The sequence below is a fragment of the Homo sapiens genome, chromosome 7, assembly GCF_000001405.40.
Source record: "Homo sapiens chromosome 7, GRCh38.p14 Primary Assembly".
Classification (NCBI taxonomy): domain Eukaryota; kingdom Metazoa; phylum Chordata; class Mammalia; order Primates; family Hominidae; genus Homo; species Homo sapiens.
The window spans coordinates 133,162,585-133,174,821 of NC_000007.14; the positions used below are offsets into that span (position 1 = coordinate 133,162,585).

The 12,237-nt window shown below is 41.0% G+C and overlaps 1 pseudogene, besides 1 other annotated feature; it reads right to left on the reverse strand.

Annotated features, from left to right (window-relative positions):
- Positions 2,554-2,603: a silencer, noted in NCBI's record as "silent region_18669". NCBI's record gives its function as "represses an Ori minimal core promoter by ATAC-STARR-seq in GM12878 lymphoblastoid cells {active_cell/tissue: GM12878}" and the evidence as "EXISTENCE:reporter gene assay evidence [ECO:0000049][PMID:35858748]".
- ST13P7 (ST13, Hsp70 interacting protein pseudogene 7) lies at positions 5,418-8,014 on the reverse strand (annotated as a pseudogene).

Consider the following 12,237-nt stretch of genomic DNA (forward strand, 5'->3'; position numbering starts at 1 on the left):
CAAAACCCTGTCTCTACTAAAAATACAAAAACTAGCAGGGCATGATGGCATGCACCTGTAGTCCCAGCTACTCGGGAGGCTGAGGCACAAGAATCATTTGAACCCAGGAGGCAGAGGTTGCATTGAGCCGAGATCACGCCACTGCACTCCAGCCTGAGTGACAAAGCAAGACTCCGTCTCAAATATATATATATATATAAAATTAAAAATTTAAAAAAGGGCGATTTAGAAAATACATTATTATAATCCTTGAAAGGGCTTCTGGCCCCAAGCAAACCACTCTCCTACTAGATAGAGGGATTTCTTAATTTGTGCATAGATCTGACTTGGGACAAAGACTATGTGCTCATACCACAGTGTTGATGAAGTTCAAAGTAGCTGAGGCTACTATCACATCATAGTTCTGGTTTTTGTTCTTTGACTACTGGGCTTGTGTTCAGCCTTTGTCTTTTGCCAATCGCAAAATCAGGGATGCTTCTCATGTATTCAGGTGGACTTCTGTCTTGGCCCTAGTAGGCAAATGGTGAAAAAGAGCCCTGGGAGAGAAGCCAGAATCTGTGAGTTGAAGAGGGGGAGGCAGAGAGAGCCAGTAAAGAGAAGAGGTGAGATCCAGGCAGTGACAAAGAAAGGCTTTGGCAGGAACTGTGAGTCAGAGGAGATGAAAGTTGGGATAGGGTCACATAGCAAAGGAGATCGCCATCCTTCTGAAGAGCAGGAAAAGACCAGAAGAATCAAAAACCAGGACTTGAACAGATATTTATACACTCATGTTCACAGCAGGATTACTCACAAAAGCCAAGAGGTGAACACAACCCAAATGCCCATTCACAAAAGATTGAGGTCAATGCTTTTCTCACTCCCAGAGACACTGGACTCCAGGAAAGGTGTTGATTGATGTGGCTGCAGTATTGCCACATCAGCAGATGAATGGATCAGCCGATGAGTGGATCAACAAGATGTCGTAGATACATAATGGAATATTATCCAGCCTTAAAAAGGAGGAAATTCTGACACATGCTACAAAATGAATGAGTCTTGAGGACATTATGCTAAGTGAAACCAGCCAGACACAAAAGGGCAAATACTATGATTCCACTCATATGAGATATCCGGAGTAGTCAAAATCACAGAGACAGAAAGCAGGATGGTGGTTGCCGGGGGCTGGGGGAAGGGGATATGGGGAGTTATTGTTTAATGTCATGATCCCCAACCTTCCTGGCACTGGGGATTGGTTTCATAGAAGATGGCAGGGGTGAGGGGATTGGGGGAGTGGCTTTGGGATGAAACTCTTCCACCTCAGATCATCAGGCATTAGTTAGAGTCTCATAAGGAGCTCACAACATAGATTCCTCACATGCGCAGTTCACAATAGGGTTCACGCTCCTATGAGAATCCGATGCTGCCACTGATCTGATGGGAGGCAGAGCTCAGGTGGTCACGCTCACTGGCCCAGTTCCTAACAGGCCATGGACGAGTCTGTGGCCCGGGGTTTGGGGACCCCTGTTTAATGGGTTACAGAGTTTCAGTTTGTGAAGATGAAAAACTACTGGACACGGATGGTGGAGGTGATGGTTGCCCAATAATGTGAATGTACTTAATGTCACTAAACTATATATTTTAAAAAATGGTTAAAATGATAAATTTTATACTATGTATATTTTAAGACATTAAAAATAATAAAGAAAATCTCACAATAAAAAGAGAGGGTGAATATGAATGACATGACTTAACTATAGCAGTCACCAATGAATGCACATCTCCTACATAGATTTATGTTTATATATTCAGTTGTGGTGGCTGGGGTGAAGAGGAAACTGGCTAAATGTATAGAATTTCCATTTTTGCCAACTGAACCGACCCATTGGTCAGAAATGGGGCCTATCATTTATTCCAGGGAACTACCACAAAATAACTCCGGCCGGAGTTATTTTAATTGACTGTTGAGTAATGGTGCTCATAAAACTCAATTGGTGGGCAGCCCTGCCTTCCCACCAGTCACACTCCAGAAGGGATCATGGTGGCCAGGGGACACCTGCTGGAGGGTCATCACCAGGATTCTTGATGACTGGAGCTGGTGCGATTAGATCAGCAGGGAAGTAGGTCAGTGGAGAAGCCACTTACTGGCTTGCAGAGACTTCGGCTGGGGTGCAGAAGAGCAGGTGGTGCTGCCGGCCGTGTATCAGGACACAAGTGCCTTCTTATGCACCAGTAAAAGTTGTGAGTATCACAAAAGTTGCCTAGAAACCAAATCACAAGACTTCCAGTGACTCTGGCAGGCTCCCTAGTGTTGACAAATCAGGGCATCACAGGACTCTAGTTTCCCTACAATTAAGCAGATAATTAAGAAATAAGAACACATTTTTCTGATATAAATTGATAGGTTCTAGTTGGTTATGTTAGCATCAGAAATAAATTGAGCAGTAATCTGCAAAGGATGTTATTGCATTATAAAAATAAAGATCTGTCTCCACAACCAATCAATTCAGCAGATATATACCAACAATCAAATTGTTAAAAATGACTTCTATAAATTACCCAGGGTTCTGTCTAATGGTGCCAGAAGCAGCTGTGATACAATTTAGGGCTGATATAACCATATATCGAGAGTGCTTTTTCATTCTGATACTTTCCGTTCCCTTCAAAGCAGTTGTAGTAGAGCCCACAGCTTTGTTTAGTGCACTCATGTGAAAACAAAGTGTATTTCACTCCATGGGTTAGCAAAGTCATTTTGGCAGGAATATATGCATTTAATATGGGAAGAATAATTCAATTTTCTTTCTATTATTTCAGCTACAAGGTTGCAATGTACTTAATTCTTCATTAAGCCCTCTGGCTTGCAAGGAAGTTGCTGTTCTTTATGAGCTGCTGTACTTCTTTCAAATGAAGGTGGAAAAGACCCACCAAGGGAGAGTTATAATCATGTATTTTTCAGTCTTGTCTAACAGCCATTTCAATGAAATCAGAACAATTTAGTACCTTTTCTTAATACCTTCAGCATTTGAAAATTCAGTCTGTCCAAACTTGATTGTCTGTTAATGCCTAATCACCAAGCTGCACCAGGATCTGTCGGTGGCCTTTTTTTTCCTTTGCATATTCATGTCGGCTGAAAAAGCAGTTAAATGCTGGCTGAACTGAAAGCAATTTTCCCACTTGGGAGCCCTGACACAACAGGAATCCATCTTTCATATAACAGTTCCAAACGTAGTTCTTCCACAGAGGTTTTGTCTAGTAAGCTTAGATGGTGCCCTAGCTGAGACATGGTTTACTCACCAGACGCAATTAACAATGACAGCAAAAACATATGCAGTAGCCACTGGACTCTCACTGGGTATTAAGTTCTTTCCTCGGAATATGAGACACCAGGATACACATCAAGACAAATAAACATGGTCCCTGCCCTCAAATAACTTACAATATAGTAAGTTATTGGCTAAAAATTTGAATGGTTTGAGAATAACTAAGTGGATACAAATTAGAGTCAGTCTCGGGAATGGATCTGTTTTTGGAGAAAAGGTTCCTATTTCTCTGCTAGATAGAGGTGGACAGGCTTGGCACAGGACATTGTGGAAGGTACAGAAGGATCTAACAACCTGGTTGAAGAAAAAATTTCAAATAATGGCTGATAGCATAAGGTGAGAGAAAGAAAGAAACTTAGGGGCAGGGGAAGGAGAGCATAGTTTGAGGGGTGCTGGAGTCAGGGACAGGTTTAGAGAGGCATGAGTGGGACATACTAAATTTAACATAGAAATGGTGCTCAACAGTCAATTAAAATCTGAGTCTGGAACTCAGGAGAAAAGTCAAGAATAAAGGTAAAGATGTAGGCCAGGCATGGTGGCTCACGCCTGTAATCCCAGCACTTTGGGAGGTTGAGGTGGGTGGATCACCTGAGTTCAGGGGTTTGAGACCAGCCTGGCCAGTATGGTGAAACCCAGTCTCTACTGAAAATACAAAAAATTAGCCGGGCAAGATGGTGGGCGCCTGTAATCCCAGCTACTCAGGAGGCTGAGGCAGGAGAATCGCTTGAACCCAGGAGGCGGAGGTTGCAGTGAGACGAGATTGCTCCACTGCACTCCAGCCTGAGTGACAGAGCGAGACTCCATCTCAAAAAAAAAAAAAAAAAAAAAAGATAGAGATGTAGAGGTTTTGCTTTTTTTGGAGGACTGGTCAGATATGTTGTAGAATGTCCTGCTTTTTAATACCTGTTTTAATACCTGGAGCACTTGAAAATTCAGTCTGTCCAAACTGTGATTGTCCATTAATGCCTATTCACCAAGCCACGCTAGGATCTGTCAGTGGCCTTTTTTTTCCTTTGCATATTCATGTCAGCTGAAAAGGCAGTTAAATGCTGGCTGAACTGGAAGCAATTTTCCCACTTGGGAGCCCTGGCACAACAGGAATCCATCTTCAATATAACATTTCCAAACTTAGTTCCTCTACAACAGATCTGTTGTAGAAGAATCCTGTTTTTTTTTTTTAATTGATGTTTAATAGTTGTACATATTTATGGGGTACATGTGTTTTTTTGGTACATGTATACAATGTATACATTACAACAGGATAATTGGGATATCTATCACTAGAAGTCCTATTTTTGACTCTCAAAAATAGTTAATTTCTTTCCTGATGATACTCATTCTGAAATTCTCAATGGACACTCCCCATCCTTCAGTCTAATGTTTCGATAGAAACATTTTGATAACTCCTAATTGGTCCTTGTACTAGAGATTTTCTGGTTGCACCTCCAGATCCTCTCTCCATTCTTCTCCTTCCTGTTTTTGCCCTGGGAGGCTGAGCTCTGTGAATGGCATCACCTTGCCCACTGGCTGCTAAATCGTTTGGCCAACGGAAGACACAAATGAGAGATAACAGCCCGGAGGGGAGTGAGGTCAAGGTGCACATTTATCGTGAATCCCTCTTCGCCTGGTCATGATGAATTGGCTGCTTCTCTGTACAGCCACTTGCTTTAGGTTGCAGTCAACACTCTCCCTACTTTCCAGTCTGGCCTAGAGGTAGTGACAGCTCCTGCTGTTGTTAGCCTGTGGGAACTGACAGTATCCCTTGTGAGTTTCCCTAAAGGCTGCCTATTCTTTTTAAACAGTGCTTTTGGTAAGCTTCATTAGCTTAACTTAACGAAACTCTTCTCAATTACCTAGTTTGAATCCAGTATGTCTTTTCTGACATGACTCTGAAAGAGTCTTCTGCAAATACTGATTGATTGATTGATTGACGATATTATCTGATCTTTGTTCTAATATATCTTCCTTTAAAAAGTTCTACAACATAGTAATCACACTTGGGCTGATCTGTTTTCATGAAAGAAAGTACTTAAGATAGTTTTCTCTAATTTAAATATTAATAGGAAAATGATTAAATAAATTATGATCCATCTCTCTATATGATACTGAAATTTTTTTTTTGAAAATTTGTCATTTTCTTTATCATTGGAGGGGAGGGAAAGAAAGCAAGCAGAGGTGGGGATATGGTTACACTATTTAAGAGCTGAATACAAAGACAATGAGTCTTTCATAGTCTCAACAACTCCACAATGAATAACTGTGGATTATCTCATTTATAATTCACATCGGATAAAAAAAATTGGTTCCCTTCTGTGTATATCAATTTAATTCAAACCTTATCTTCAGAATACAAAGATGAATACTACAAGATAAACTAACTGCAATAGGTATTTTCTAAGTAGAAGAGCAAACACCAAAGGGAATCCCTCTTTCCAATGTCTTCTGATATGGCAAGATTTTGCCAGAATGGAAGTCTAACACTTAAATAAGCATTCTCTTGGCCAAGTAAGAAACTACAGTTGTTGTGGGTATTACCCTACAATTACCATATGTATTACATATTAAATTAAACTCAGCATTAAATATGCTTGTATAATTATGTTGTTAATGATGATAGCAGTGATGATGCTGGTGGAAAAAGCCTGTCTTTCACCCGTGAAAAGTAAGGGAGAAAAATGTAACAAGCAGAAAGCAAACACAGAGTTGGGCAATTTTTGACTAGGAAAGAGAATTTTAAGCATAGAAATATAAAAAGAAAAGTACTCCCTTATTTCCCTTACGTGGAAATAATATGAAACACTTATTAGATATACTGGACAACAAGAGAACTAAGTACTCCAACTCTACTGCAGCATTACAAAAAACATCATCCCTTCACCACAGTGTAAGATTTAAGGGCAACCTGCCCAAGGATGCATGTTATATCAAACACAGCAAGATTGCTGCTGCCCTGCCAAGTACTTCCAATCCCTACCCAGGTCCTACTGAAATATGGGTGGTCCCAGTTAGTTTTATTGAAATAAATCTTTAAAGAAAAAGATAAAGCATTTAAAAAGACAAGTCAAAATGCATCAGAAACTACATATCCAACACAAACTTTATCCTCAAATGAGTTATGTTTACCTCGCACTAATAACTTTTATTTCACTCAAATTAGAGCAGTAATCTTCCATACCTAAGTACATTCCCTGCCCAATAATTCAAAGAAAAAAAATCCAAAATGATTAGTAAGGAAAAATATAAGAATTAACAGACCCTTTAAATTTGTTTTAAATATTTTGAAGATTTAAAAAGTGTTTAAAGTTTGTAATTCCTAGTAGGAAAACATTATCTGAATGAATACCGTAATGGCAAACCACTATAAAATGCTTCAGCTGCATTTGGGTTAGAGGGGTAGGGATTATCTTCAAAGCACCCCAGCTCTCTTGATGAGAAGGTCGGAGGTACACTGGTTTGTATTATTGCGACATCCATAAGGTGATCTAGGTTGCTTTTCCTTCAGCAAGGGCTTTATTTATCAGAAGGGCATTACGTTGACCTCCAAATTTGGCTGACAATTTACTGATGAGATTCATAACCTTTGGGTTGCTCTAGTATTTTGACATATTTGCTGGGTTCGAGCCACATCCTGGAAGGCCACCATAACTTCTGGATCCTGCATGGCTGCAAGAACCTCTGGATCACTAAGAATTTCATTGAGTCCAGGCATTCCGGCCATTCCAGTCATGCCCCCTCCCATTCCAGGCATTCCTCTGGGAAAATTACCAGGCACTCCCCCAGGAAAGCCACCTGGAAAAGAGCCATACTGAGCTCCTGACTGTCGTCTGGCTTCTTCCTCCCTCTGGGCTCTCTCATGCTCTTCTCGAGCCTTCTTAACTCGTTCTATTCTTTCTTTGATCTCTCACTCTTCACATTTTCGCTCATACTTTCTCCGATGTTCTGCAATTTTCTGTGCCCTATGTTGAACTTCTTTCAGCATTGCACTAGCATCTTCATCATAATCCAATTTACAGGCAAGGGCAAGATCATGGGCTGCTTCTTCCCAGTGGCCTAGAAGTCTGTATGCTTTCCCCTGCCACTTGTGAGGCTGAGCTGAATCAGGATTTATTTCAATGGCTCTGTCACAGTCTCGGATGGCAGCATTTGGCTTCTGTAATTTGACGAAGACACTGGCCCTCTTGGCATACAAAATGGCCAAGCGAGGATTCAGCTTGATGGCATCTGTGAATAAGTCAACGGCTTTCTGGAGTTCACCATCATTTGGGTCTCCAATAGCAGCCACTTTTTATCATTTGCCTGATCCATCATCTCCTCCGTTATCTCCGCATTTTCATCTCCCGTTTCTTGAGGAGCATCAGTGTCTGGTTCAATCACACCTTCTTTATCAATTTCTAGATCACTTTCCTCACTTGATGTTTCATATGCCTTTAAGTCTTCCTCCACCTTCTTACTATCAGGTTTTTCTTCTTTGGTATTTTCTTCTGATTTAGCTTTCTGAGTAGCAGGTGGTACTTTACCTCCCATGCTCTCCACCCACTCCCTCAGAAGCGCATTTCCTCGGTGTGCAGAACGCTCGGATCCTGCTTACACATCTTCACAAAGGCCTGAAGCTCGTTCACTTTGCGGGGGTCCATGGTAGGGAGGTGGTGGGCGAAGCTGGGGGGCTGCAGCCCGGTTCCAGGCCCAGGCGCTGGCTCGGCGTGACTGCGCAGAAGGGGCTGAAATTTTTTTTTAAATGAGACAATTGGCCAGGCACGGTGGCTCATGCCTATAATCCCAGCACTTTGGGAGGCCGAGGTGGGTGGATCACCTGAGGTCAGGAGTTCGAGACCAGCCTGGCCAACATGGTGAAACCCCATCTCTACTAAAAATACAAAAAAGTAGCCGGATGTGGTGGCAGGTCCCTGTAATCTCAGCTACTCAGAAGGCTGAGGCAGGAGAATCTCTTGAACCCGGGAGGTGGAGGTTGCAGTGAGCTGAGATCACGCCACTGCACTCCAGCCTGGGCGACAAGAGCTAAACTCTCTCTCCAAAAAAAAAAAAAAAGAGAGACAATCTTACAGGTATGGACATAGAAATATCTTTAAGACATATTAAGTGAAAAAAAAAGTGACAGAAGAATAGGCTCAGTATAACCCCATTTATGAAAACAACATTAAACAAAATAAAACTATACATTTTATATAAACTCTTATGAACACATGGGCCTTCAGACTCTAGTCCTACACTTTTCCCTTGCCTTACCCCCTCCAATATTCCCACCTCGACGTTGCACTTCAGGTCAGCAACTACATTATGCACTTGCTGAATTAGAGTAGGCGCTCAATGCTTGTGGGATAAATGAATGAATTACAATTTTCAAACATGTCCTTTACTTTCAAGACTCCCTCTTAGTGTTTGTCCCTACTGTTCCATCAGCTTAAAATGCTGTTAACCCTTCCCTCAGCAATTGTGATTTAGTTAGTAGTCCTCTAGCATCCACTAAATTCTACTTTATTTGGAAAGCCTTCCCAAACCCCTTAAACTAGAATTTTCTGGCCCTCCTCTGCTTTTCTAGAGCAATTTATAACTTCACCTGAGCACTCAGAACACCTTGCTTTGCAATCAAATCCAGTTTCCCCTATAAGATTCTAAGATCCTGGGGGAGCTTTGGCAATTTTGTATTCCCAATACTCACCATAATATCTCACACATAGTAGTCACTCGGTGTGTTACCTTTAATTAAATCTAACTGACTGTTAGGGTCCCAGGGGCCAGGTACACCAGACCAGGTAGAGTAGAATAGGTACAATGCCTATTGTAGGTTATTAATTGAATGTCTCCAAACAAAATAAATTGATTAATTTAATCATGAAATTGAGTGCCATCCTACTTTAAATAATTTACTCTAAAACTTCAGGCAATTTAAGTCTAAGACGGAAAGCAGGTGGAGAGTGTAAGAGCCTATATAAGACAAATTTTTCTTTGTTGAATATCAAAGGGCCTCAAGGAATGATCTGGCCTGCCAATGCAGGAATGGGCAACAGAGAAGTACATAGTTGAACAACCTTCTCTCTCTTCTCTCCCGAGGGACAAGCATATTTTCCCGTCAACTTTAGTAGCAGTTGCCCCCTGTGGATTTCCCAATGAATCAGAAGCTGCCTCTGCATAGACTCCTAATCCACAACTTGTATTTCTCAAATCTAATTTATTAAAAACTCATTTATTTTCAACAACACCAGATTTCTGATTAACTCCCAGCACCATGGGTTGTTTAATGCAGTGGGTTTCATTGTCATTTCTGATTTCCCTAAGTGCTTGATTGATAGAAACTATCATGGGCTTAGTCTGTCAGTGTATTGTTCCTTTGTCAAGTGACAACAAAAAACTTTATTAATGAAATTGCTGGTGTCTCCTAAATAAGCTAGAAACCCAGTATGGCATTGGAGACCCACAGGTGTTAGCTTTCACTAGGGCAACTAAAAATAATGCCTGGAAGCTTCACTGAGATACAAGGCAGATATCCCTACCTATGCTCCACCTGGAAAAGTCTGGCAGAGTCCACAGTTGTGTTTTCTCATTTGGTGTCAAGGAAGAAAGAGGTGTATTTTCATTTTGCCTTTTGATAAGGGTGATGAAATGCACTGAAGTAGGTTCAGAATGATAAATCAACTTTAAATGCGAACAGCCTTATCTTTTGTTTGTTTTTATAATTTTTCAGACCCATTTAAATCTTTGAGGAGAGTAACCCTTAGAATACAAGATAGAGTTGTTAAGCCTGTAAAATAAAATATGATGGGGAGCGGTGGCTCATGCCTGCAATCCCAGCACTTTGGGAGGCTGAGATGGGAGGATCTCTTGAGCCCAAGAGTTCGGGACCAACCTGGGCAATATAATGAGACTTCATCTCTAAAACAATAATAATAAAATAAAATAAAATAAAACAAAAGCAAGAGCTGTTGCCATGCTGTTTGTGTAGCTAATCCCTTAACCTGTCTTCTGGACTGAGATTCCTTCCTCAACCCAACCATAGCCTTGAGCTACCCACAGATGTGAATTAGGTGGAAAAGCTGCCGCAAAAATGTCAGTAAAAGGGAAAGAAGCAGGAGCAGGTCTCCCATATATTAGCAAAATGTCTTCACAATTTAGTGTTCTCAGTTTGCTGAAATATAGCAGATTTCCCTTATAAACCTTCCACTGGTGTCTTTGGTGCTTTATCTTCCTAGCTAGACAAGGACCCTGGATGGAGGAGAATTGGTCATTCAGTGGAAAGTCCAATCGCCTCTCATTTCTCAAACATGAGAACAGATAACTTCCTAATCAGTTCTTCCCTTCTGAATATCTCCTTCCACAACCCTCTGTGACTGTCGCCCAGAGATTTGGATTAATTTTTCCCTTTAGCGTTGCGTCTGACAGCTGAGATGTTGTGATGTTTATGAACTGTTAAGTCAAAGAGATTATATAGCACCTTGAACAGCTTAGAGGACACATACTGTGTAAATCTAAGCACTAAGAAGTCAGGAACCTGAGAAGAAAGCATAATTCAGGATAAGTCTCCCAATACCTTCCCATCACCTCTACTTGTCTCCCTGGGTGAAAACTCTAAGAGGGCAAACTAGAGAATAAGGCACAGAATCCAGAGTTCTTGAGATTTCACTTCCCTGGGCCCTTTCGTTGAATATGAACAAGCCCACTCATGGGCAATCTCTTACATATAAATACTACTATTCTGACACTGTAAGAAAGGTGAGCCCTTTGAGATATTTCCCAAGAGGTATCTATAGTAATTTATCTACTAACATTTGTATGCAAAGATGTGTATCTACTGAACGACTACATTTAGGATTAATGGGATCTTACCACCGTTTACAAAAGCTGTACTTAAAATTATGCTACCCCCATTTTTCCCTAAGATTGATGAAATTTAAAAGCTAATAATTAAGATGGTTAAGACATGGGGAGTGCATGCTTTTTTACATTGTTATACATAAGTTGGTGCAAACTCTATGGAGGGCAGTATGAGAACATTTGTCAAAATTAAGATGTGCAAGCTGGGCACAGTGGCTCACGCCTGTAATCCTAGCACTTTGGGAAGCCAAGCTGGGGGGATTACCTGAGGTCAGGAATTCAAGACCAGCCTGGCTAACATAGTGAAATCCTGTCTCTACTAAAAATATAAAAATCAGCCAGGTTTTGTGGTGGGTGCCTGTAATCCTTGCTGCTTAGAAGGCTGAGGTAGGATAATCACTTGAATCTGGGAGGCAGAGGCTGCAGTAAGCAAAGATCGTGCTGCTGCACTCCAGCCTGGGTGACAGAGTGAGACTCCATCTCTAAAATAAAATAAAATAAAATAAAATAAAATAAAATAATAAAATAAAATAAAATAAAATATAAAATAAAATATAAAATAAAATGTGCAATCAGAGATTTTTCCATTTTAAGATGGTAGTGAAAAGATTTTTTTCTGCCCCTGCTCCTTTTAGGAAATTACCCCAAACCAACAAGGATGATGAGAGAAAACCTGCAAATTTCATAATCCATGAAATTAGGAAATATTTATATGAAAATAAATAAAAGAGTTTAAAAAATGATGTAGCAGAGTGGAGGTAGCCTGTATTGTTAATTAGTGACAGAATTTTTCTTTTTCTTTTTTTTTGAGACAGAGTCTCATTCTGTCACCCAGGCTGGATTGCAGTGGCACAATCACAGCTCACTGCAGCCTTGACCTCCCAGGCTCAGGTGATCCTCCCACTTCTGTCTCCCAGGAGGCTGGGACTACAGGCACATGCCACCATGCCTGGCTAATTTTTGTATTTTTTTGTAGAGACAGGGTTACACCGAGTTGCCCAGGCTGGGCTTAAGATTCCTGGGCTCAAGTGATCCACCTGCATCAGCCTCCCAAAGTACTGGAATTATAAGCATGAGCTACTGCATCCAACCAATGACAGGATTTGGGGTTTTT